This window comes from Homo sapiens, chromosome 8 (assembly GCF_000001405.40).
Source record: "Homo sapiens chromosome 8, GRCh38.p14 Primary Assembly".
NCBI classification, from domain to species: Eukaryota; Metazoa; Chordata; class Mammalia; order Primates; family Hominidae; genus Homo; species Homo sapiens.
In genome coordinates, this window is record NC_000008.11 from 20,969,334 (window position 1) to 20,996,815 (window position 27,482).

General features: G+C 42.2%; 2 long non-coding RNA genes across 2 annotated transcripts in view; one reads left to right on the top strand and one right to left on the bottom strand.

Annotated features, from left to right (window-relative positions):
- The window catches only part of LOC105379316 (uncharacterized), a 36,228-nt gene extending 16,689 nt beyond the window's left edge, over positions 1–19,539 (bottom strand). Inside the window, exons 1-2 of the long non-coding RNA XR_007060845.1 lie at positions 19,430–19,539; positions 4,400–4,588 (exon numbers count right to left, since the gene is read on the bottom strand). This is a non-coding gene — a long non-coding RNA (uncharacterized LOC105379316). The remainder of the gene's footprint in view (positions 1–4,399; positions 4,589–19,429) is intronic.
- LINC02153 (long intergenic non-protein coding RNA 2153) lies at positions 4,653–25,786 on the top strand. The gene is made up of 5 exons (NR_033894.1): positions 4,653–5,320; positions 14,124–14,773; positions 17,078–17,153; positions 25,447–25,605; positions 25,696–25,786. It is a non-coding gene; the product is annotated as a long intergenic non-protein coding RNA 2153 (long non-coding RNA).
- Positions 25,787–27,482: the final 1,696 nt, after the last annotated feature.

Sequence of the window (27,482 nt, forward strand, 5' to 3'; positions counted from 1 at the left end):
TGTACCACTTTACTCCCCTAATATTCTTTTGAGGTCACCAAGAGCGTAAGTAATCTACAAGTGAGTGGGTTGTAGGTTCATTTTGGAGACGACTGTCATTAACTCCTGATACATGGTCCCTTCTGTGATCCTGACTGTGTGATGGGAAGGAGTGGTAGATGCATTTACAGACCTCGTTGCTCCACAAGCATGCTCTAAGAACTTACTAGGTACCAGGCACTGTGCTGGACACCAGGATTTCAGCTGTAAATTAGGCAGACAAGTTTCTTGCTTAAAAGTGCAGTCAAAGTGTCCTTACAAACCATGGAAAGGGGCCATCAGCAGCTATGGATGCTCGTGACCAGAGCCCCTTAGTCTGTTGGAGGAGGGGCTGTCAGGAAAGACTTCCAAGAGGAAGTGACACTTGGGATGAGACCAAATAGATGAGATGGGAGTGGCGTGGTACCCCCCTCCCCACAGCAGCTGCCATATGGGTGGAAGATGGAGAAGACAGTGTGTCCATGGCTACTTCAGACCCAGCCCGATGGGGACCAAGCTACAGTCATGGACGTTCTGGCTGTGCCTCCTGTGCAATGGAATCAGGAGGTCAGTAGCTCAAAGAAATGCCTCCACTCAGGATCTCTGCATCCCCTCTCTCCTTCCTGTGCCACAGCTACCTCCTGGGAGAGAGAACACAGAAACCTGATTTCTCCCCACTTGATGCTTGAAAGGGGAGGGAAGAAGAGAAGGTGACTGCCTGGATCTCTTACTTGGGATGGAGTGTTGTCATGTAAACAACTTTTCACCCTAGGATTTTTTGGGGCTGTCAAGAAGTGACAGCCAGAGCTGGGGACACTGGCTGGAGAGGCCATTAAAGGCCATGAGAGGTGATTTCCCACCTGGCTTCTTCCTCCAGAACTTAGCACTTGCAGCAGTCTCTTCCACCCTACCCCCAACCCACATACATCCTCTCCCCACATAAACATCTCCTTCAGTGGTACCTACCGACTTTTAGCTTTCTAAACCAGACTGAAAGAAAAACATTGATGAGTTGCCAATCTACAGCATTTCACCCACATTTATCTCATTTAATACTCTTAACCTTGAAATTCATTCATTCATTCCTGTAACAAATATGTGTCAAGAACCAACTCTATACCAGCTGTAATCTTTTTTATGCTATTGTCATCTTATCAATGAGGGTGTGGAGCCTCACAAAGGTTAAGTGACCTACCTTGACTCACACATTGAGTAAATAATAAAGTCAGTGAACAAATTGTAGAGATCAAGTCAGCTGAGCTGACTTCAAATACTTTTTCCACTACAGTGGAAAACACTTCTCTAATTGATTGGTCTCTGGATTATTCCATATGGAGTTTTAAGGAAAAAAAAAGATTAAATTCTGGGCATGCCAAGCAAACAGTGGCTAAGTGCTTTCATCAAAGAGTTCATTGGCAAATTACATTCACTGCCTATCTACCCTACTGGGAACCAAACAAAACAAAAATGTGAAGTCAAGTCCTTTGTCTTTCCTCAATGCCTACTCCTGTCACTGTTTCCAAGAAAGGCTCTGATACTTACACAGAGGTATAAGCAACAAAAATACCTTGATGAAGACCAGCCTGGCCAACATGGTGAAACTCCATCTTTACTAAAAATGCAAAAATTAGCTGGGTATGCTGGCAGGTGCCTGTAATCCCAGCTACTCAGGAGGCTGAGGCAGGAGAATCTCTTGAGCCTGAAAGGTGGGAGTGCAGTGAGCCAAGATCACACCACTGCATTCCAGCCTGGGCGAGAGAGTGAGGCTCCATCTCAAAAAAGAAAAAATGCTTGAAATGCTCCTCCATCGTGGATGAGAATTGTGAGTATCATGTCCTGCAGGGGTGGGGCTGGAACACTTGCTGCCAGTCCCACAGGGGAGGTCTGCTTTTGCAAACTCAGCAATAATGGAAAGCACCTGTTCAGTCTTAGGCATGGTAGAAATTTGTGGGGGAGGGAGAAATGCAGAACCCACAAGCCATGTTGTGTTGGAAGAGAGAGAAAGTAAAAGTTTGAAACACCGTGGCGTCATAAAGCCAGCCGGAAGAACCGATTTTGGGGATTAAGAGTGACTACATTGTTGGCCGGACGCGGTGGCTCATACCTGTAATCCCAGCACTTTGGGAGGCTGAGGCAGGCAGATCACGAGGTCAGGAGTTCAAGACCAGCCTGACCACCATGGTGAAACCTCATCTCTACTAAAAATACAAAAATTAGCCAAGTGTGGTGGCACACGCCTGTAGTCTCAGCTACTCAGGAGACTGAGGCAGGATAATTCCTTGAACCTGGGAGGCAGGGGCTGCAGTGAGCTGAGATCACACCACCGCACTCCACCCTGGGCAACAGAGCGAGACTTCTTCGTCTCCAAAAAAGAGTGACTACATTGTCACATTCACTTTTTCCTTTTCCAACCCCCTCCGTGCATGTGCAAAACCATTAGAAAAGCAACAAGCAGGGCTGGTGAAGGAATCAGGGGAAGGCTTCTCTCATACTCTCTCTCCCACATAGGAGCATAGTCCCCGAGTTTTAAGTCTTACTGCTGCCACTTTCTGATCGAGTGTCTTTTAGCAATTTATACTCTGAGTCACAATTTTCTCATCTGCAGAATGAGTGTAATAATAGCAGCCTTGCAGAGTCATCGTGAGGACCCAGTGTAACCATCTGCATATGAGATGGGAGCAGCCAGCACCGTGGAATGAGGCAAGGTTTGGAGGGGAAGAGCTCACGACATGCTTCTAAACACTTAGCTATGTGACCATGAGGAACTCACCACCCCTCCAGCTTCATCCACCTCACTTTTCACATGAGAAAAGTAACAAACTTGTGCTTTGTTGGAATCAAAGGCGGTAGCAAGTAAATGTAATAATGCTTTTAAACTGTCAAGTCCTATTCAGATGAAAAGATACACCATTGCCTTTCTCCTAAGCAGGGCATTGTGCCTCCATGAATACCTACAATCAAGGTGTTCCCAGGCCCCATGTATACACTGCCAGTGCCAGTGCTGGGGGATTCCAAAGGAGCAGAAGTTGTGGGCCCCTCCCAGCTGGAGAATAACATCAAGGTAACCCGAAGCAGGATGTAAGCACAGTTTAGACTGCGCTGTCTCAGTGACATGCTGGTGTAAGGAGGAGGCACAGGATGTGGGAAAGGCCCGTAGATGAGGCCATGGAGGAGCTGAGGCTGCGATGGGTCCAGGAGGATGAGCATCCTGGGTGTTCCAGCCTCAATGCCTCCAGAGGCAGACAAAGGCTGGGCAAAAGGAGTTTGCCTGAGAGATGCGCAGATGTTCTCATCAAGCACAAGGGAGAGAGTGAGAATATGAGTCAGGACAGGCAGCAAGGCCCAGAAAGGGTCCATTGTTGTGCAAGCCACCCCTGTTTGTTTGCAGCTGGGCTCAACCCTGCTGAGGGGCCAGGAAGCTGCGGTGTATATCTGCTCATTCCAGTGCCACATAGAATTGACAGTGCTTCCTGTCAGGAACTTTCTGACATTCCCTTGGCCAGAGAATGTTCTCAGGCCAAGAGACACAGAGAGCTGAGGACTGCGGGCAGGTAGCCCGAGGGGATGTGAATGGGACACCGACAGCATCTGCTAGCTTTGGCAGATGGGAGCTAGGGCCACTCCATGCTAAGGGACAGCATGAACAAAATGAAGGAGAAGATGGGTTGAGTGAGGAGCTCGCCAAGCTTTGCTCCAGAGGGAGAGAGTATTTGAAATTGGGACTATCTGCAAAAATCACCAAATATATGAAGGGCAGCAAGGAAACTCTAAGAGGGGAAAATGGGCAGCAGTGTGGAGCTGCTGCACACCACTGATGATGGGAGGTGTTAGAGAGGGAAATGCCTCTTGTTCTGGGGTGATGATGATCTTGCAGCACCGGCCTGGGCCGGCAGTTGGACAATGGTGACCGGATGAGTGGCCAGTCATGGTTCCACTCAATGCTGGTGAATGAACTATCCCCTGGCAGTTTGCAAAGCTCAGGTCCACAGCTGACTGTGGAACTGGAAGTGCCACAGCACCCACCCCTGCCGCCAAGCCGTGCCCCACTTCTGCTGCTAAATGGAGAAAGGATGGAGCCTACATTAGAAACCAGAGACCTGGCAAAGTGGGTGGGACAGGAGGTTCCTGGCAAGCGACAGACAGAACTACAGAATGCCGTAAGAGAAAGGAAGGTGGTTGGTCTTTCAGTCAGAAGTGCTGGCTGGACATGGAGCACTGCTACGGTGACCAGCGCAGCCACCACTAGGAACAGCGACTCTCCCAGACCCTCCCTCACCTGCCACCCATCGTAGTGGCTGCTCCTCTTGAACGGCTGGGGCGAGAGGGATACTGCATGCGATGGAACTGATAAACCAGTTCAAATAGCATTAGACTCACTCACCGATACTGTCTCATTGAAACACATTGCTCATTTATTCCTCTTCGTCATCCTTTGAGACACAGTCATTATTTTCCAGATGAGGCCTGCTCAAGAGCATTTGGCTGATGGGGGCTGAAACCTCTCACTGCAACCAGGTTCATTTGGCTCCAAGTCCTGTGTGCTCTTTATGAAGTCATAGCAAGGCCTGGACTAGGGTGAGAAAGGACAGGTGCCTGTGAGGCAGGACTTAAAGGAGGCGCTGGCCCTCAGGGGCATGCGAGGGCAGGGTGAGCACCTGAGAGTGAGGGCCTCCTTAAAGTCTGTGGTCCAGGGTCCTTTGGTCCCCTAATCCCAGAGCAGAAAAGAAAGCCTTCAAATCCAGCTGCTGCCTGAAGAGCCTCAGACTCACTCCCCTGGGGCAGCAAAGTGCATTTCTTTACCCACAAGGCCCTGTAGTGCTGACTGGAAGATGGGGCTGTCAGGGACTCATGGGAAAGAATGGCACATTGGATACAAACTCATTCGGCTTAGTTTTACCCTGTGGCTGCCCCTGTAGTGTCATTTGTGACACCAGGAATATGTTCCATACCAACCGAATAGCTTCTCTTCCTATTCGTGCCAGTGCATGGAACTATATAATCATTCATCTATTCATTAATTCATTTATTTGTAGCCTTCCTCTTTATATAGGCTTAGAGAGCCACTACTCGAAGCCAAGCCTTACGTCAGGCAGCAGAGATACCAAGATGAGGTTGAAGAAAACACACGGCTTTCTCCACTCATGGACTCCAATGAGGATGGCAACAACATGGTAATTAGAAGTCATTAGCAGATTGCTCTCAGCAAGTGGAAAGCAGTGAGAATTCTGAAGCAAGACTTCTCTGGACTTCAGGGAAGTCCCTCTAAGGAAGTGACATCTAAACTGGAACTCCACTGCCTCTAGTATGTCTACTCTGGAGTTCCCACCTTTAAGGGTTTCTGGGAACATTAATATATATAGTGTGAGTGGATTTGGCCCTCTCTGAGTCTGAGAGAGTAGGTGTGCAATAAGAGTTAACATTTGCTAACTTGCAGTCTTATGGCTCCTTACAGGGCTGAGACTTGACCTTGTGACTCCAGCCTAGGATTATATAAGGATGTGACTGACCTTAGAGGATTTCACGGGAACTTAGCTGTACACGTGGAACCCATTTATTTGCTGACACTTCTCATTTCCTTTCAGAACAAACCTACATTCCCAGACCTATAATTTTCTTGAGAAAATGGGTTTATTATAAGTCACTCAATAAAACACCCTACCATGGCTTCCCAGTACAAACCCTAGTTTCAATTAGTCTTATTTTCTTCCTGAACTGATGATTCCCAAATCTATCTATCTGTTCATTAGGATCACTGGAGAACTATTAAAATGTCCAAAGTCCAGTCCACACCCCAGACCAATTAAATCAGTCACTGAGGCTAAGATCAATATTTTTTTAAGCTCCCCAGTCAGAATTGGAATTTCAACTGCTGGTCAGTTTCTCCTATGAACATGGGTTGATATGGGCACGATTGTGGGGCTAGCGTTGCCATCTCTCCCTATTAAACTTCTCCTACTAGAGCTACAATACTTTTCGGCCCTTGGATGGCTGTGCTTTTCGAATTCTTGTACTTCCACTGTTCTACCTCTTTTATTCAAGGCAGCCTTTCCTGCATGCATTTATTCTTTCATTCACTTACAAGAATATACTGAATATGGATTCTAGGAACTAGGAAATGAGTTGTTGACCTTGGGCTAGGGTGAGAACATTTGAGTGGTTCTTCGTGGTGACCTGCCTCCCCTGCCCCCATAAAAGCCTCTCTCCTTCCTGCCTTCCAGTCCACTGATGCATGGGCCCAGGCAGCACCAACCATTTCCTTGCTTGTAGTCAGTTCCCCATCTACCAAGTAATGCCTGCCTTCCCCTCCTGTTGGAGGGTGTATTAGTCTGTTTTCATGCTGCTGATGAAGACATACCCCAGACTGGGTAATTTATAAGAAAAAGAGGTTTAATGAACTCACAGTTCCACATGACTAGGGAGGCCTCACAATCATGGCAGAAGGTGAGGAGGAGCAAAGTCATGCCTTACATGGTGGCAGGCAAGAGAGAAAGACAAGCGAAAGGGGAAATCCCTTATAAAACCATCAGATCTTGTCAGACTTATTCACTACTATGAGAGCAGTATGGGGGAAACTGCCCTCATGATTCAATTATCTCCCACAAGGTCCCTCCCACAGCATATGGGAATTATGGGAGCTACAATTCAAGATGAGATTTGGGTGGGACACAGCCAAACCATATCAGAGGGTCCAAATTCAACTCTTCTAGAGTTAACTACCCAAATTCCCAAAACCTCTTGACTGTTTGTTTCACAGAGGTTTTTTTTTTTTTGAGGTCATAGTAAAAAATAATTTTAGAAACATGCCCTGACAAATGTGGGTTCCTGAAATTGAGGCGGTGAATCCTTCACCCCTCCCTAGTAGCCCTGAATGAGTCCTCTCTTCTGAACTAGACTCCAAGCCTCCCTAACGGCAGCAGTGATTTCCAGTCCTCAAATGACACAGTCAAAACTCTCACTAGAATGCTTGTTGAGTGACACTTAGCAGATCATGTGTTGACTGGAGAAAAGGAGGGAGGAAGAAAGGAGAAGAGAACAGGAGGGAGAGGAAAAGGGAGGAGATACAGAGTAAGCCAGAGAGGAGAGAGACAGAGACACAGAATGGAACCGATTTTGAGATCCTACCTGTCCTGCCCATCGCCTTGTGGAGGACAGAGGAATGGGGCATCTAAGCTCACTCACACTGCCAATTTGAACTGTTCTGCCCTAGCCTCCCTCCCTACCCACTTGAGAGCATTGGAAAGCTGCCCCATGAAGGCTTTACAAAGCATCACCATAGTAACTGTTTTCTCCACTAAAAGACGCCTATGCAATGAAGCTCTGCACTCTTGTCTGCCCCTCTCAGTAACTGGGAGAGGCTTCCACTCTCTCCAGCAAAGGCCTTACCGGCCACTGAGTGACTCTATCTCATATTCTCATGACTGTCATTACCAGCGTTAGTATTTTCTTTATTCTTTTGCACTTCCCTGGCTCTGCTGGTCTAAAATGGGCTTTCCATGACTTTAATTGGCTCTCATCAGCACTGAGGTCAGTGAGGCAGCCACAGAGTTCATTTGACTAAGGCACAAGCAGAGGCGGAAGTCTGAACAACTTGCTCAAGGTCTCCAGCTCCAGAGTCCTGCAGATGAGGGCTCACAATCCCTAAGTTTACTATCCTTTCCTCAGCCCCAGTTTGTCCTTCCGCAAGGGGGAAATCGCCTCTACAGTTATCACACTAGGAGAAATTATACTTCCCTGAATTGTAAGCTTGGGCATCTGTGTGTCAAAGCAGAGAAGAAGTCAGGGAGGTAGCTTGTGTCTTTGAGGGGTGTGAGGGGCTGGGCTTGGTGAGCAGATGGACAGAGCTGAGCTGCCGGGTTCCACGTCAACAATGGCAAGTCCATGGGGAATTTCTGTAGAATTAGATATATTGCTGGACGCGAATAATTAAGGATTCTGATGTGGTCAGGTAGATTAATGTCCCTCTGAAAGCTCTGGATCAATGTTGGAAGGGAAAAAAATAAAAGACATGCATAATTTAAAAAAACCATCAGAAACTTTGCTTGACATGATGACATTACTGATTTTTTTATGATCTTCTCAAATACACTCTATAACCGTTATTAATTTAGTATCGTTAAAAGCTCATCCTTCAAATGTCAGGCAAGAGCCAAAGCTGAAAAATAGAACCGCTTAGGGCTGGAAAAAATCCAGGAAAGAGAGGCGGAAAGCTCTAGGAACACGAGGCCCTGGGCTGCCTCCAGCTTCCCGAGAAACTCCCAGCCAAGCTCTCTGTTGCTGTGACTTCTCCCTCTTGGGCTACTTTGTTTGTGGTTCACAAAGACGGCCAACTCTGGCCCATTTGCTAGGCATCTGCCGTCTTGGCTTGCCTGGCCTTATGTACAGAGTAATGCCAGGGATCCAGTGTGGGAGAATGTTGAGGTGCTCCAATAAGTCTCTCCTCCAAAATAAAGACCTCCTGATGGTGCCTGATACCCAACTGCTCATGATCAGGTGTGGCATCCTGTTGAGTTAAGCATCACCTTCTCACAGACAGGTCTCTCTGAAAATGCAGGTGCTTCTGCAGAGGAGAGTATACTAATAAGATATAGTAATAGTATTCGTAAGGAATGTTTACAGGATGCTTACTATGTGCCAGGCACTATTCTAAGTACTTTACATGCATTATCGCATTTAATCCTCATAGCAACCAAGAATATTATCACTTCCAATGTTATGTCTAGAAAAATAGATTCAAAGACACTAAGTAACTTAGCTGGGGTCACACAGCTAATAAGTGTCAGAGCTAGAACTCAAACTGGGTCTGACACCAGCAGCTGCATCTTTAGCCACTATGTACATCTGTCATCCTGGTCGATTGCTGATGTATTAATCAAGCGACACTAGATTTATCCACAAAGAAGAAAGCACTTTCCTCTTCCAGAAAGAAGGGGAGCTAAAAGTGGTGAAGTTGTGGGTGGGTAAAGGAGTTGTTACTGGAAAGAGGTGCAAGAAACATTTTCCCCAGCAACAGTGTCATCTCCTCTAAACGACTCTGGAGGGGAGGGGCTCATGCATCACCCCACTGGGCCCCATGGTAGGACTGAGCCTACCCCACACTCTGCATGCCCCCTGAAGCAGCTCAGAAGACCCAGCCTCCTGGATGATTCTTAGAAAGAAAGGTTGGAAGCATATGTTCTCCAAAGACTAGAGGAGACTGAAAAGTCCCCCAAAAGTCCAAACATTTCAACCTAGAGTGGACGTGACCCTAGAGAGCCAAAGTGGGGCATGCCAGGAACAGATTTCTTAAGGGACAGCAGCTTGGGAAACAGAGCTAGCTTGAAATCAGAAGCCTTAGATTGAGGAGTTGATGTTGGACAAGCTTGCTCGCTCTCGCTCTCTCGCTGTCTCGCTCTCACCCATTCTCCCCTCAGTTTTTTGCATCATAAAGTGAGAGTATGGCCCTGAAAGCTTCTACCAAGCCTGTGTTCCTGTAACATGGATTTTTCCTTAAAAGGACAAAGCATGACCATATCCCCTCGGAGCCTGGATGCCCGGGAGCCAGGGTGCAGAGATGTCTGAGAGAGAGCAGAGTAGGAAGGTAGTGTCCTCACCATCGGGCCCTCAGCATGACTTGCCTTGCACAGTGGGATACCCAGCAGAGTCTCCAAGGACCTCAGAGTGCTGTGTTCTTATTTCTTTAAGGACTGTCTTTTCTTAGACAGTCCTTAAAAGAAGGGAAGGGATGGCTTATCCTACATTGAGCCTAAATACAGATTTAATTTATCTGCTCAGTTCAATTGCTCAGGAAAAGCAAATCCAGAGTTGTTTGACTGCTCTAATGAGTCTTCAATATAAATGAACAAGCAGGATTGCCCATGTAGACACACGCTAAGCCAGCAGAGCACAGTTTGCTCAGCTGCCTGCAAAGGTGGCTGGATGTCTCCACACATCACAGTGTACCTGTGCACGTACACAAACACAGGCACAGTTTCTTACTATTAAATTAGCCAAGTTGGATCTCAGCAGTGGGAAATCTGCATCTTAATATTAAGTCAGTAATTAATAGCCTAGACACTTGGTTCACTTTCCTTTTATTGGCTTTACATAGATACAGAATGGACAGAGGTGGCCTTTCTTCCAACCAGCAAGCTGTCTCTCCCTCACCACCCCTCCTGCCCACCTCCTGAGAATGAATATGTTCCTATCTCATTTGCATCCTATTATTAGTGCATTGAAGCTATAGTCACGTACAACCTCTTTATATTCACTTGAAAATTAAATTACAAAAGTTTTTCTACATTGCAATTTATGTTCTGGTTGGAGCTGATTGTTTTTTGTATTCCGGCAAATATCACAGTCTCCAGGAATTAATGAATTCATAAGCATTGATTCCTAGGGGGAATAGTATGCATAGTATATTGGAAAATAGAGAAGCTCAGCCTAATGTCAAAATGTTTTACTTTCTACCACCCAATCCTTACATACACATGGGAAATTCTTGTGGATGCCAGGCAGCTTATGTCTGCAGGCACCTGTCAATACTGCCTGCTGTACTGAGGGGTGCCTGCAAAAAGCTATGCCTTCTGAATATATCAAGCAATGGATGCTATAGAATCTAGGTAATTTTATGCAATCTGTTCTTTTAGGACAAATCAGTAATCAGCTTCAACCCCTACCTTGGCCACTCCCCAGTTCCTAAAAGCCAAAGCCACTGCCTCCCTCCACGATAGAAGTCACACACTTGTAGCTGACTGACATATTTTGTGTGTATTTTATGACTTTTTTTTCTTAAAAGCCAACATTTAAATATTTGGAGATTTCAGCTAAAAATCCGGATTTTGACTTTCTTAAAAACATCTGAAGGTCTGACAGTATTGAGCCGATGTTCAACATAATGGCAGTCTAGAGGTGTGGAGTAACAGCAGTCAGCTTCCTTTAAACAGTATACGTCAGGGGACATACTCTACAATTTGATCCTCACTACTTGTGGAAAGAGGCCAACAGGATTTGCCATTTTTTCAAAGAACATGTACGCTTTCGTCTCCACAATCTCTATTAGAAGTGGGAAAACAAAAATAGACCTAGAAAGCAAAGATCTCAATCCAGGGGCAAGAATATGTTTTTTTGAAGGAAGTGAAACAATGTTGCTGCTTAATTTCCAAATAGAGTACTCAAGAAATTTTTTCCTGAACCTAGCTTGCTTTACTGTAAGGACGTCCTAGCTATTGTTTTATTACTTGCCTTGCCCCTGGAGACATTTGAATTTTAGGACCCTTGACCTTGGTGGTTTTTAGGGAAACGCTTTATCAGGCAGGCCCTTTCAACCTGGCGTGCCTCCCCACCTGGGGGTCTCAGTGTCAGCCACCCTTCCAGACCTGGGAGCCTGTGCCCCACTCCTTTGATGCTCTCCGGCTGCCTTGGCACTTCCACTTCCCTAAGTCCAGAAGCACCAGTGCTTGATGTCAGGTTGAGATCTGGGCCTCAGACAGATCAGGCTGAGATCTGTCTGTAACAACTTGTCTGCCTCACGTGAGTCCCTCGGTGTGAAATAATAAGAAATATATATATATATATATATATATATATGTCGCTGTCCAGTTCTTGACATAGAGCTCCTAAAACTCTTATGGGTAGGGAAACTTGGAGATCTTTTATTCTAATATTTGGCCTTTGGCCCCACATCCTGACACAGAGCTCCTAAGACCTTTGTAATTTCCTGAGAGACAGGATCTTGTAACACAGAGCCCCTGCATCCCTTGGAATTTCCTGGGTGATAGGAACATCTTTTGTTTTAATGAGGTGACTCCTGGTGGGCTCCTGGATAGCTTCGGGAACCAGCCATGTGATTAGAGGGTTGGAACTATTGGTCCCACCCCTCCAACCTCTGGGGAGGGAAGAAGGGCTGAAGGTTGAATTGCTCACCAATGGCCAATGATTTAAGCAATCATACTTACATAATAAAGCCTCCATCAAAACCTAAAAGAACAAAGTTCAGAAGGCTTCTGGATTGCTGAATGCATGGAAGTTCCTAGAGGGTGGCACACTTTGGATAGCTCCAAGGTGTGCAAGGAACTATACATGTATCCATGGAAGCTCCACGCCCCTTCTCCCCTACCTTGCCCTGTGCATCTCTTCCATCTGACTGTTCATCTGTATCCTTTGTGATATCCTTTATAATAAATGAGTACACAGAATAAGGTGTTTCTTTACATTCTGTGAGCCATCCTAGTAAATTAATTGAACCTAAAGAGGAGAACCCTGATTTATAGCTGGTCAACCTGAGACTCACAACAGACATGTGAAGTGGAGGCAGTCTTGTGGAACTGAGCCCTTAACTTGTGGGAATGGATGCTGACTGCTGGTAGATAATGTTAGAACTGGGCTAACTTTTAGGAGTTGAGGTCCATTGGAGAACTGCTTGGTAAACCCTGACACATCTGGTGTCAGACATGAAGTATCGTTTCGAGTGTTGAGTGCAAAAGTAGGAAAAACAGTTTAGTTATTCCTATCTCTTTCATTTGGCGACACCCTTGGATTGGTACTCATCACTTCCTCTTGGATTCAAAACCCTGCATTCTTGTCTTCTGGGTCCTTACAGAGCTAATATTGCACATCTAACCTCTTAGCCTGACCTAGGTTCACTCTGCCTCCATTCCTTTACCTGTTGGGCATTGCCAAAAAATTATGTAAGGCAGAAATTCAGTGAGTGAAAGAAGGGCAGTCTCCTGGAGACTGAAGGAAGCATCAAGATCAAACCAGAGAGGCAAAGTTACTGGTATGGAGACTCTCACAGGTAACCAGCAGAGCTCAAACTTCCTGCCTCTCTTTATGGTGTTGTCTCCATTATCTGGCATCCATCTGTGCTCATGCAGACAATATTTGTGCATAACCATTTTTAACCATCTGCTGCCCTTGAACCTCACATCACAGGGCCCACCTTGTAGGAAAGGCTCTTTAGCTAGCAATGATGGTGTCCAGGACAATTCTAGGTTTTACCATACTTGGAGCCATTGAGAGGGACTTGCAGGACTGACCCATCTCATCTTTCTTTGCATCTTTCAAGAAATCGATGGGTAATCTAAAAGGTGTATGTTTACAGACCTGCAGTTTTAGTATCAGAGTTTCCTCTATGTAGTGGAGATTATGGATCTGAGACCTGAAAAGAAGTGATCCACTAAAAGGATAAGTTGTCTCAGCTCCTGGTGCTGACTCAGAGAGGAGCCTCTGGGCTGACTTAACCTCTTTGCTGTGCACTCTCATTCTGTCTGCACCCAAACATCATGACAGACATCAGCAGTACTTCCCATGATTCCTGAAGAGGAGGCTGTGTGCAACAAAGTCATCCTAGGATATTTTGAGAAATAAACCTGTCAAAGTATAATTGCTCAATCATCTTAGCCCCGTGCACCGTGGAAAAGAATATGTGCCAGAAGTGGGAGTCTCTTTTTCATCCTGTCTAGCACCATCTTGTCAGAAGCAGCAATTCCAGAGACAAAACCTGGGGAGATTTCAGCACTGCTGGGTGTGCCTTCTGCACAGCAGAAGTGGGCTTCCAGCTGGAGCCCAGATGAAGGTTAACTATAGGACAATTTACGAGTAAGTGGGAGTGGTATTAGCAATTACATTCTGGCTGAGAGTGACTAACTGCTTCCACCTGGGAAAGCAGATCCAGCCCCATAGAAAGGTGAAGGTCATCCCTGCTCCAGGGTTAGATCTACAGGAATGGCTGCTCCAGAATGCCACACACAGTTCTTGCTGCAAGGTCTTTCGCAAAGAACACTAATTGCCTACATCTCTTGTCTGGGATGCATTTCTCTTTCTCCCTATTATCCTAGTTTTGTTTTGTTTGCTTTTCCTGATTTCTAACATCTGACCTTGTCTGTGCTACCTTCTGCATCTCTCTTTGTCTTATTGAGTCTCCTGGCATACGTCCTCCCTCCTACCTATCATGGACATATGAACTAGTAGTGGCCAATGAGGTAGAAGTGAGTATCTCCGGGCTGTACTTCCCGGAAGTCTGTTGTATATGTACCTATCAATATATTTGTATATACAAATAGGTGTACAACAGCTGACTCAGCTGACACATAGCTTTTGTCTTATTCTTACCCCTTCTTCCTGACCAGAATGGAAAAGAGATTCCCATGGATGCAGCATTCATATTCTGGCCTCCAAAGAGAGTCACATGATAAGGAGGCCAGGACAGAATAATAAAAGGAGCCAGTCCCCTGCAGGTATCATGGACTGTTCAACCAGTTCTGGACTTTCACCTGAGATTTATTGTCAGGTGAAAAAAATAGCCTCTATTTTGTTAAGCTACTGCTGTTTTCTTTCTGTTATTTGCAGCTAAACTCAGTCCTAACAGATACATAAATCCTGTTCATTTTTCCAAAGGGTCTTCAGAAATACTGCCTTGGGTGTCTAACTATTACTGACTGAATTGTGCCCCTTTAGAATTCATATGTTGAAGTCCTAACCCCTCATAAGGGAATGTGACCATGTTTGGAGATAGGGTCTTTAAAAAGGAAATTACATTGAAATGAGCTCATGAGGGTGGTTCCTAATCCAGTGTGATTGGTGTCCTTATAAAATGAGGAAATTGGGACACAGACACAACCACAGAGGGAAAATGATATAAAGAGACACAGGGAGAAGATAGTCATCTGTAAGCCAAGGAAAGAGGCCTGGAACAGATCCTGACCTTACGGCCCTCAGAAGAAACCAACGCTGCCAACACCTTGATCTCTGACTTCCAGCCTCCAGAATCACAAGGAAGGTAAACTTCTGTTGTTTAAGCCACACCCTCCATTGTACCTTATGGCAGCCCTGGCAAACTAACATAAAGACCTATATTTCCTGACCATGGGATCCTCTATGGTCAGGAAGGGGCTTAGCAGTTGGGCCACCTGTATTAGAAATGCCTGAGATTCCTGTTAAAAAATAGGGTAGAGTTCAGGAATCTTTATTTTAACAAGTTTCTGTGGTGATACTTAAGTGCTCTATGGTTTGAGAATCACTAGTTTAGTTCTTTAAGGTCTTACAGAACACAAATGAGATAGAGGAGAAGTTGACACTCCACTGACAGGCTGGGGAGTAAGAAGTATTTGAGGGACAGACTAAGACTGACCTGAGGCCAGGAGAGAGACACACTGCAGAGGAACAGTATGAGCCAAGACTCCCAGGTGGGAAAGAAATAGGTGTGTTTGGTGGCAATGATAATAATAATGATAGTAATCTAAACTAGCATCTTTATGATGTCTTATAACTTACACAGCAATTTTAATTATATTATCTAATTTAAATCTTCACCTGTAAGGTGAGAATCATAGGTAAGGATTACAGGTGGAGATTACCACTGAAGTTACAGGTCACCTCAACCCTGTGAGGAAGTTAATATTTTATTATTTCCATTCTGCAGGGGAAGACACCAAGTGTAAATACTAGAAATAGTATACGCTAGTTGTGAAAGTCTCCGTGGTTTTTTGGGGACAACCAGGAAGCCCCAAAGTGAGCACAACTCCCCTTCATGCTGCAAGTGGCCAGGAGCCGTGATCGCCTAAAGCACTGCAGCTCCACCTGCCTTGACAATGGAGTGGGGAACAGAATAAAATGATCCTATAAAATGATCTCTTGAGAGAGTGATTGGCTAGAGAGAAGATAGGAAACATAGGAAGAGGGTAGCTTCCTCTCTTCCACTTGTATATTTTGGACCTACTTTCGAAGGGTCTATAGTGAAGAAAGCCCATCAAGCAGGTGGTGCTGATGAAAAGAGACAGGAAGTAGGCTCCAGGACTTATCACTCTTTCTACCCTATTAAGGAGGTACCCTCTTTTCTTACCACCTTCAAACAAGCCCACTTGGGAATTTGGGGGTAAGGCAGGACTTCAGCTTAGGGACAAGCATTCTTCCCTTGCAGGTATGTGCAACAGTAAAAAGGCAGCTTGGGAATGATGACTGAGCACGAGGCACCCTGGTCACTGTGCTGAGGCCATGGCATTTGGATAGACTAGACCTCAACACTGCTCAAGGGATAAGTCTACTTGTCTATTTGTCTATCCATCTATCTATTCTTGCTCGTTACTATAAGTATTTGACATTGTGTATAAAATGCCCACAATATAAAAGAATGAAATAAATACACAAGAGAGTTATTGGTTAAGGAGGTTATGAGAGGAAAATATGGCAATAAAAATAAGGGAAAAACTAGCATACAGACCATCGAATGCAGACCATTAGATCCGGTACTGTGGCAATTGAGTGTTTCAAAATGTGAATCTGAGTTTCCCAACAGCCAAAACAAAGGATAAAACACATGGCTACAAGAAGCAAACTGCCTATAATAGAAAGAAATTTTTTTAAAGAATGTCAGTTGTAAGCAGAAAAGCAGAACTCAGCTCTTCCTGATGATGATGCTCAAGAGGAATTTCTTCCATGGGCCCTCATGAAGAGGACACAATGCTCTAGAGGAAAACATTCTTAGCAAAATCCCCATAATGACATTTGTTAGACTATTAATCTGAGCCTCTCAATGGCATAATGCCAAAGCATACTACAGGAGAGGCAAAGCGGCCTGCCTGGGAAGCATGGTGATGGTATTTTGAAAAAGGGTAACATTTACAGTTCCTAGAGCAGAGAGTCTTAACTTTGAGAAGCTATATGCCCTTGGAGACTCTTTTGAAAAGTTTATAACCTGTACAGATAAACATGTACATGCACGAACTACAAAACTTTATATGTAGTTTCAGAGGGAGGTTACAGACAACTCACACTCCAGAAGAAGACCATTTATGAGGCATGAGTTAAGAGGCACTGAAAAATGAGGACTGCCTAAAAAGATGATGCCAGGAAGACAATCGAAAATGTTGCTGGATTGACAGATTTGGCCCCATATTTCCTGACACTATTTTATGTATTCCTAACAAAGTTTTCCTTTGAAAATTCACTTACCTAAATGGAATTTCCCTCTGATACAACAACAGCAATGATAAAATATATATCTGGGATTTCCATGGACTAGACATACTTTTCCTTATTCCTCCCACAAAGTAACTAAAAATCCTGCATGTTATATATAAAACAGATGTAAGAAAACTCTGAAAAATGAAGAAAAGAAGGAAACTGGCTAGGGACTTCAGAACCTAAGGAACAACATGAGGGTAAGTTTCGTGAATTTCCTTTTTGCTTTGTACACTCCTATTTGGAACTGAAAAACCAGCAACCCAGAAATACCAATAGGTAGGTGAGGATTAAACAAAAGTCTCCTTTTTCTAGCCAAACAAGTAGGAAAAGAACAACCTAGAAAGACATAAAACTTTTAGACAATAACTGCTCTACTTCAGTCAAACGCTACAGAAAAGACAGTAATCCTACCTCCACTCATGCCAGCAAAAGTAGAGTAGGGAGCCTAGGCTTACAGTCTTGTTAGGTATACTGAGGAACCCCAGCTTTTCTGCTGGGGTAGTAGCAGAGAAGAGCAAGTAGGGGGCCTGAACATCAACTCAGCATTACCTACCAGGGGATAGTAAGCCACACTCTGCTGCCCACTTACTGTCAGTATAGAACACAGAAGGAATAGTAATGAGTTGCTCCAACCCCTCCCAACCAGAGACTTATCAATGGAGGCCTAGCAGGGAGCAGAACTTCCATCTCTGTAACAAGAAGCACACTCCTTGGGTGTAGCAACAGAACCCAAGTTGGAAACCTGGACTTTTATTTGTAGTCGGCAGCAGCAAGATAGCACAACCCCTTCCCTACCTGGATGGTATTAAAGAAAGCTAGCTAAAATAGGATTTTTAAACAAAATTCATAGTTTCATAACATAACCCAAAATATCCAGGTTTCAATAGAAAATTGCTTGTCATACCAAGCATCAGGAACACCTCAAATTAAATGAAAAAAGGCAACCAATAGATGCCAACAGCAAATGTGGCAGAGATGTTACAATTATCTGACAATGATGTTAAAGCAACCATCATAAAAATACTCAAGCAATCATGAGCCCACTGGAAAAGAAATATATATAGAATGTCTCAGTAAAGAAATAGGAGCTATCAAAGAGAACAAAATGGAAATTTCAGAAATGCAAAATACAATAATTGAAATAAGCTTAATAAATGGGCTCAAAAGAATGAAAGAGTCCAAGGAAGGAATTCATGAAATGAAAGATAGAACAATAGAAATCATCCAATCTTGACCGGGTGCAGTGGCTCATGCCTGTAATCACAACATTTTGGGAGGCCAAGATGGGCAGATCACTTGACGTCAGGAGTTCAAAACCAGCCTGGGCAACATGGTGAAACCCTGTCTCTACTAAAAATACAAAACTAAAAATTAGCCAGGCATGGTGGTGTGCACCTGTAATCCCAGCTACTTGGGAGGCTGAGGCAGGAGAATTGTTTAAACCCAGGAGGTAGAGGTTGCAGTGAGCTGAGATTGCACCACTGCACTCCAGCCTAGGTGACAGAACAAGATTCTGCCTCACAAAAAAAGAAAAAAAAAAAAATCACCCAATCTTAACAACAAAGAAAAAAGTATACTGGAAGAAAAAATCTAACAAGCAAACAAAAAACCTATAGATACTCAGGAACTTGTGGGACTGTACCAATAATCTACATTTATGTAGGGAGGAAGAAAGAACGTGGTAAGCAAAAAAAAAAAAAAAAAAAAAAAAAGGTAAATACAATAGTCTCATTTTCTTCTTGAGTTTTCTAAACTATATTTGATTGTTGAATGAAAAATTATACCATCTGAAGTAGTTCTAAATGTAGAGAAAATATTTAAATTATATTAGAAACAAGGGAGTGTACAAGGATATAAAGGGAGATAAAACTTTTTCATTTGGACTGATAAAATGATTCAAGTAGACTGAGAAAAGTCTATTTAACTTATTACCTAAGGTAACCTCCAAGGAGCCCATACATTTAAAAGCACCACAGATAAATGAAAAATGAATTCCATAAAATGTTCAATTAACACACAAGAAGACAGGAAAAACCAAACAGAGAAATATAAACAAGGAACACAAGAAGAAAACATAGAAAACAAGCAAAAATGCAGGCTTGAGCCCTAGCATATAAATAATTATATTAAATGTAAATGATCTAAATATACCAATTAAAAGACAGAGACTGGTAAAATATATTAAAACATGACCCAACTATAGGCCATCTATAAAATTTACTTCAAATATCACTACATAAATAAGTAGAATGTAAAAGGATGGAAAAAGACATATTGTGAAAGCATTAACCAACAGAAAGAAAGGATGACTATATTAAAATCCAATGAAATAGGATTCAGAGCAAAGAAAATTACCGGAGACAGAGTCTGATATATACAATAATAAAAGGGTCAATCCTGCAAGTAGACATATCAATCCTACATATGTATGTACCAACCACAGAGCTGTAAAATATGTGAAGCAACAACTTACACAATTAAAAGTAGAACTAGGTAAACCCACAATTATAGTTTGAGACTTCAATGTTCCTCTTTTAGCAAGTGATTTAAAAACTAGACAGAAAATCAGCAAGGATATAAAAGAAGTCAACGATGTCATCAACCAACAGAATATAATCAACATGTATAACATTCCACCCAACAACAGTAGAATATGCATTCTTTTAAAGTTCTCATGGAATATACACCAATGTAAATCATATCCTGGGCTATAAGGCAAACTTTAACAAACTTTAAATATTTGGATTGTAAAGAGTACCTTCTGCTACAATGGAATCAAACTAGAAATCAGTAGTAAAATTATAACCAGAAAATCTCCAAACACTTGGAAACTAAACAGTGCACTTAAAAAATTTTATTTTATTGTGTCTTTTTGTAATTTTTTTATTTTTCATTTTTATGGGTACATAGTACATGTATATATTTGAGGAGTACATGAGATATTTTGATACAAATGTGTGATGCATAATAATAACATCGTGGAAAATGGTGTATCCATCCTTTCAAGCATTTATCTTTTGTTACAAACAATCCAATTATACTTTTAGTTATTTTAAAATGTACAGTTAAATTATTATTGACTATAGTCACCCTACTGAGCTATCAAATACTAGGTCTATTCATTTGTTCTATTTTTTTTGTGCCCACTAACCATTCCTACCTCCCCACCACCCTGAACTCCCCTTCCCAGCCTCTGTTAACCATCCTTCTGCTCTCTATCTCTGTAAATTCAATTCTTTTGATTTTGATTCCACAAATAAGTGAGAACATGCAATGTTTGCCTTTCTATGCCTAGCTTATTTTACTTAACATAATGACCTCCAGTTCCATCCATGTTGTTGCAAATGATTGAGTCTTATTCTTTTTTATGGCTGAATAGTACTCCACTGTATATACGTACCAGATTTTCTTTATCTATTTATCTGTTGATGGACACTTAAGCCACTTCCAAATCTTAGCTATTGTGAGCAGTGATGCAACAAACATGGAATTGCAGGTATCTCTTCAATATGCATATTTTCTTCCTTTTGCATACATACCCAGCACTGGGATTGCTGCATTGCATGGTAGCTTTATTTCTAACTTTTTAAGCAACCTCCAAACTGTTCTTCATAGTAGTTATACTAATTTACATTCCCACCAACACCAGCTGTGTACAAGGGGTCTTTTCTCTTCCACATCCTCACCACCATTTGTTATTGCTTGTCTTTTGGATATAAGACATTTTAACTAGGGTGAGATGTTATCTCATTTCTTATTATAATTTTGATTTGCATTTCTCTGTTGATCAGTAATGTTGAGCCCCTTTTCATATGCCTGTTTGCCATTTGTCTTTTTTGGAGAAATGTCTATTCAAATCTTTTGCCAATTTTTTTGATCGAATTATTTGATTTTTTTCCTACGGAGTTGTGTGAGCTCCTTATATATTCTGGCTATGAATCCCTTGTCAGATGGGTACGTTGCAAATATTTTCCCTCATTCTGTAGCTTGTCTCTTCACTTTGTTGACTGTTTCCTTTGCTATGCAGAAGATTTTATTTTATTTTATTTTATTTTATTTTATTTTATTTTATTTTATTTTATTTTATTTTTGAAATGGAGTCTCTCTGTGTCACCAGGCTGGAGTACAGTGGTGCCATCTTGGCTCACCTCAACCTCCGCCTTCTGGGTTCAAGCGATTCCCCTGCCTCAGCCTCCGAAGTAGCTGCAACAACAGGCACATACCACCACACCAGGCTAATTTTTTTTTTTTTTTTTTTTGTATTTTACTACAGATGAGGTCTCACCATGTTGGCCAGGATGGTCTCGATCTGCCGACCTCGTGATCCACCTACTTTGGCCGTCCAAAGTGCTGGGATTACAGGTGTGAGCCACTGCGCTTGGCCCTGTGCAGAAGCTTTTTGACTTGATATAATCCCATTTGTCCATTTTTGCTTTGGTTGCCTGTGTTTATGGGGTATTACTCAGGAAATTGTTGCCCACACTGATGTCCTGGAGAGTGTCCCCAGTGTTTTCTTGTAGTAGTTGCATAGTTTGGAGTCTTAGATTTAATTGTTTAATCCATTTTGATTTGATTTTTATGTATGGCAAGAGATAGGAGTCTAGTTTCATTATTCTGCATGTAGATATCCAGTTTTCCCAGCACTGTTTATTGAAGAGCCTTTCTTTTCCCCAGTGTATGTTCTTGGCACCTTTTTTCAAAAATGAATTCACTGTAGGTGTGTGGATTTATTTCTGGATTTTCTATTCTGTTCCATTGGTCCAGTACCATGCTGTTTGGGTTACTATAGCTCTGTAGTACAATTTGAAGTCAGGTAACGTGATTCCTCCAGTTTTCTAAACAATGCACTTTTAAGTAACCCATGAGTCAAAGAGGAACTGTCACATGAAATTGCAAAAATATGTTGAGCTAAATGAAAACCAAAATACGATGTACCAAAACTTTTGGTACATAACTAAAGCAGTTCTGAGAAGGAAATTTATGGCACTAAATATATATATTGGGAATGAGGAAAGCTCTCAAATCTATCATTTAAGCTCCCACCATAAGAACTTAGAAAAGGAAGAGCAAAAGAATCCAAAGCAAGCAGAAGAAAATGAAATAACAAAGAGTAGAAATCAATAAAAACAGAAAAAAAAAGAAAAATCAATAAAACAAAGAAATGATTCTTTGACAAAATGAATAAAATTGGCAAACCTCTAGCTAGACTGACAAAAAAGAGTGAAGACTCAGTGTCAATATCAGGAGTGAAATATGGGCTATCACTATAGACTCTGTAGACCTCAGAAAATAATATAGAAATATTGTGTCCAACTCTACACACATTATGTTGATACTTTAGATGAAACTGACTGACTCCTGTAAAAACACAAATTACCACTACTCATCTAATAAGAAATAGGAAATTTGTATATCCTATACCTATTAAATACATCAAATTCATAATTTAAAAACTCTTAAAAATAAAATCTCTAGGCCTAGGTGGTTTTATTAAAATATTCTACCAAATATTTAAGAAAGAATTAACATAAATTCTACAAAATATTTTCTGGAAAACAGAAGTGAAACAGTGAGGGGGAGTCATCCCAATTAATTTTATGAAGATAGTTTTACCCTGATAGCAAAACCATACAAAGACAGTACAAGAAAGAGAGAGAGAGAACTATAGAATAATATCTTTTAGAAATATAGACAAAAAATTCCTAGCAAAATATTAGCATATAGAGTTCAGCAATATATAAAAATTAATGCTACACCATGGCCAAGTGGGGTTTATTTCAAGGATACGAGACTGGTCCAATACTTTGAACCAGACTTCTAAGCCAGCTAAAAAGGAACTACATTATTAGCCAGATAGAGAAGAAAAATCATATTATCACATAACTCAATACAGAAAAAGAATTTCATAGAATATTTTAATAAAACCATCTGATAAAATTTCTCAGAGAAATAGGAATAGAAGGAGACTTTCTCAACTTCATAATCAGTATCTACAAAAATCCACAGGTAACATTATATTAGTGGTGAAAGACTGACATCTGCAAATAAGGTCAGTTTTATTTCTTCCTTTCTAATCTCTATGTCTTGTATTTTCTTACCTTACTGTACTGGCTAGAACATCTAGCATTATGTCAAACAAGAATGGTGAGAGAAGACATTTTTATCTTGTTCCCAATCTTAGGGGAAAAGACTGACCCTATTTGCAGATGACACGACTATATACACAGTAATTCCCAACTCCCTCTTCAAAACAATGACAGAAAAACTTACAGAAGATCCTAGAATACAAGATAAACACACATCAATTATATTTCATATACTAGCAATAAACACACGAACAACAAAATTAAAAATGCAACACCATTTACAATCTCTCAGAAAACATGAAGCCCTTAAGTGTAAATCTAGCCCATCATGTTGAAGACTTGTATGCTGAAAACAACAAAATGCTGATGAAAGAAATCAAAGAAGATCTAAGTAACTAATAAGGACATACAATGTTCATGGGTCAGAAGACTTCACAATGTAAGGATATTAATCCTCTGCAAAATGATATACAGGTTTAATTCAATTCCTATCAAAATCCTAGCAAGATTTTTATAGTTGTAGATAAGATTATTCTAAGATTTATAAGGAAAGGCAGAAGAGGTAGAATAGCTAAAACAATTCTGAGCATGGGAAGAAATTAGTCTACTCAATTTCAAGAATTTTTATATGGCTGTAGTAACTAAGACTTGTGGCAGAATAGACACATAAGTAAATGAAACAGAATACAGAATGCAGAAATAGGCCTACCCAGATAAAGCCAATTGATTTTTGACAAAAGTACAAGAGCAATTCAATGGAGGAATTATAGCCTTTTCAACAAATGGTGCTAGAACAATTGGACTTCCACAGGCAAAAAATAATAATAAATTGAACATTATTAAAGTGAAAAGCTTTTGCTCTGCAATATGCCCTGTTAATACAATAAAAACATGGGCTAGTGACTGGACAAGAGTATTTGCAAACCACAGTTCCAACAATGGATATCTACATTATATGAAAACATCTCAAACCTCCATGGTAAAAAAAAAAAAAAAAAAAAAAATCCAATTACAAAATGGGCAAAAGTCATGGGCCAGACACCTTGGCTTACACCTGTAATCCCAGCACTTTGGGAGGCCAAGGTGGGTGGATCACCTAAGGTCAGAAGTCCAAGACCAGCCTGGCCAACATGGTGAAACCCTGTCTCTACTAAAAATACAAAAATTGGCTGGACGTGGTAGCATACAACTGTAATCCCAGCTACTCAGGAGGCTGAGGCAGGATAATCACTTGAACCCTGGAAATGGAGGGTGCAGTGATTTGAGATTGCACCACTGCACTCCAGCCTGGGTGAGAAAGTGAGACTCAGTCTCAAAAAAAAAAAAAGTCATGAAGAAACATTTCACCAAAGAGTATACAGGTTGGAAATAACCACAAATAACCACATGAGATGTTCAACATCATTAGGCAATGGGGAATACAAATTAAAACCACAATGAGACATCACTAGATATCTAACTGAATGGCTAAAGTGAAAAAAAATAGAGACACCACCCAGTGTTGACCATGACACAGAGAAACTGGATTACGCACAAATTGGTAATGAGAGTATAAAAAGCAATATACAACCACTCTGGGAAATATTTAGGCAGTTTCTTAAAATAAAAGTAAACATGCAACTACCATACTCCTGGATGTTTATCCCAAAGAAATGAAGACTTCTGTTGACACAAAAACTTATACATGAATTTTCATAGCAGCCGTAGCCATAATAGTCAATAAATAGAAACAACACAGATGTGAAAGACATCTGCAAATGATTGTTTAAACAAACTGTGGTACATCCATATCATGAAACACTCCTAAGCAATAGAAAGGAACAAACTATTAATACATATGGCAATCTGAAGGAATTTCCAAAGAATTCTGTTGAGTCAAAAAAGGCAACCTCATTATGGAACATTCTTGAAAAACATTATGGAAGTGGATTAGTGGTTGCCAGGAGTTAAGAGAGGGTCATTAGAAGGAAGTGAGTGTGTCTATACAAAGGCATGATGGATCCCTGGGGTGATGCAAAGACTCTGTATTCTGCCTGTACCAATGTCAATACCCTGGTTGTGCTATGTACTACAGTTACACGGAATGTTATCATTAGAGAAAACTGAGTAAAGGGAATCTCTTTATTAGTTCTTGCAACTGCATGTCACTCTATAATAATCCCAAAATAAAAAGTTTAAAACAGCAAAAAGATATGGTCAATTTGATGTGTAATGCATGTAATGTGATGATTACTGAAAGAACCTTGCCTGGAGGGGACGAGGCATGGATATAAATTCCTTCTGTGTCTACAAAAAGCCATGCTATCTTAAGCAGACCCCTGGCTTTTTGGGGTCTCAGTTTTCTCATCTGTTAAGTGAGATATTTGAGCTAAATCATCTGTAAATGCTTTTCTATTTAATGTAGAACGTGCAGATGGGACAGAGAATCACTGGTGGAGACTGATCCCAAAGTGGCCAGAGTGCAAGGTGCTTTATGGCACTGCACCAGTTCCCTATGAAACCATACACATCTCATTGAGTAAGGAAGGAAGCTGCCTGTGACTGAGACTCTGAAATGGACCAGGTACAACAGTAAGCATGCCACACATGTGATATTACTTAGACAAAGCACCAATAACAAACATATACATATTTTTATTTCCATCTTTTTCAGGGAGGAAACTGAGTCTTGAAGAGATTGTGTAACTTTGCAGTGAGTGCAAACCGTAGTAATTACAAAGTGTGAATTAAAAACCCAAAATGCTGCCTGCTAGCAGAGTGGTAAATTATTTAACCTCTGTAAGCCTCTGTTTCCTTACTTGCAAAACAAATAAAACAGTTCCTGTTTTTCTGTGAAGAGTAGTTAGGATTACGCATGTGAAGCCTTAACATAAAATTTACTACATGATGAATATTCAAAAATTTTTTGAGATCATCATCATTGTCATCATCATCACCAGAGTTTCAGTCTGGACGTTCTGTTTTCAAAGTTCACATTCTGGACTTTCAGTCCTGGCAGTTGCTGCATTCTCCCTGGGCAACTCCATGAAGCCCTTTCTGATAAGATGGGAAAGGAGAAGGTAGAAAAGAAAGCCCAGCTCTAGCTATATCAGTTCTCAGCAGTTGTTTTAACTCACCTCAGAGATGACGTAATCCTAGTAATCAGCAGTTTTGCATACCTTCTCCCATACCTCCTTCACCTACATCCCTGACTCTCAGTCATCCCCCACCACAGACAAATCTGCTTATTTCATAGATGGGAAAACAGGACAGGTGGAGTGGAGAGCTTGATCCAGGTTACACAGCTAGTCAGAAATGAAACCCAGGACTGGAGCCCCAGCCTTCCATTTCATTTCCATGTTCCCTCCCTCAACCAGGAACTGGTGCCCAGGCACATCCTCTCCTTGTGCAGAATGTGCCCATGGTATCAATGATGTTCAGGAGAGTTCATGAGAAAGGAAGATAAATGGACATGATGTAGTTGGGGAAGACCTTTTGGAATAAAAGACTTGAGTTAGGTCCTGAATGAACAGAGGATGTCTGTAGGGGGAGGGGAGTGGGGAAAACCATTCAGGCCAAGGAGTCACGGGAGGGAAAGTATGGAAGTGGAGATACCTATGCTCAGGATCAGACAAAAGAATCAACAGACATGCGTCTCAAGCCTGCTCCCTGCTCTCATTCTGACGAACTGACCTGAGCAGTGTCGCCCCTTAAGCTTTCCCATCTTTAGAATCAGAGACTTGAATTCCTAGCGTGACTTCTCTCATGGTGGTGCTGAAGACAGGATGTGATCAGGACTAGGGTTCTCTGTAAACTGTAAGGAGATGGCTCCAGGTACAGGGTCACTGGCGGCAGTGGGGAACCTCAGGAGGTAAGTTTAGGGAATCTTGAGGACCAGGCTATGGAGTTTGGAAAGCAACCTCTAGAGCTGGGAGAGGAAACTGCTCCCTCTAGGCATGGCCAGCTCCATTCCTGCCAGCAAGAACAAGGACATCAGGTCAAACACAATGACCTGTAAAGTCATCGGAGGGTCCTACAGGCTTTGATTTCCAAGCCAGGGATGCACCAGCAGTTCTCCTCCCAGATCCTCATGGAGAGCTAGACATGGACGTGAAGGCATGCGGGGAGCCCTGACCGCTACACTCATTGTTGCATTTCCCACAGGCTCTCCAAGGCTTCCCTACTGGCCTTCCAAATAGGAATAAAGACAGGTACCTTTGAAGCACATTTGAATGGGTTTAGGAGACTGTAAAGTACTGTCCCTACGGAAGAGCTGGCAACTTCTGGGAGCAGAGACATCTGGGCCTTTGATGGCAGGTATCTGCCTATACCGACCCTCCTGGTTCTTCTCTTGGGGCCCACGCTTTCCCAAGTCTCAAAGGGGATTACGCTGCAGAAGAAGGCAGAGTGCTGCTCAGGCTTAACTGAGCTCGCAGGCTGGTATTCTCTCCCCATATCTTC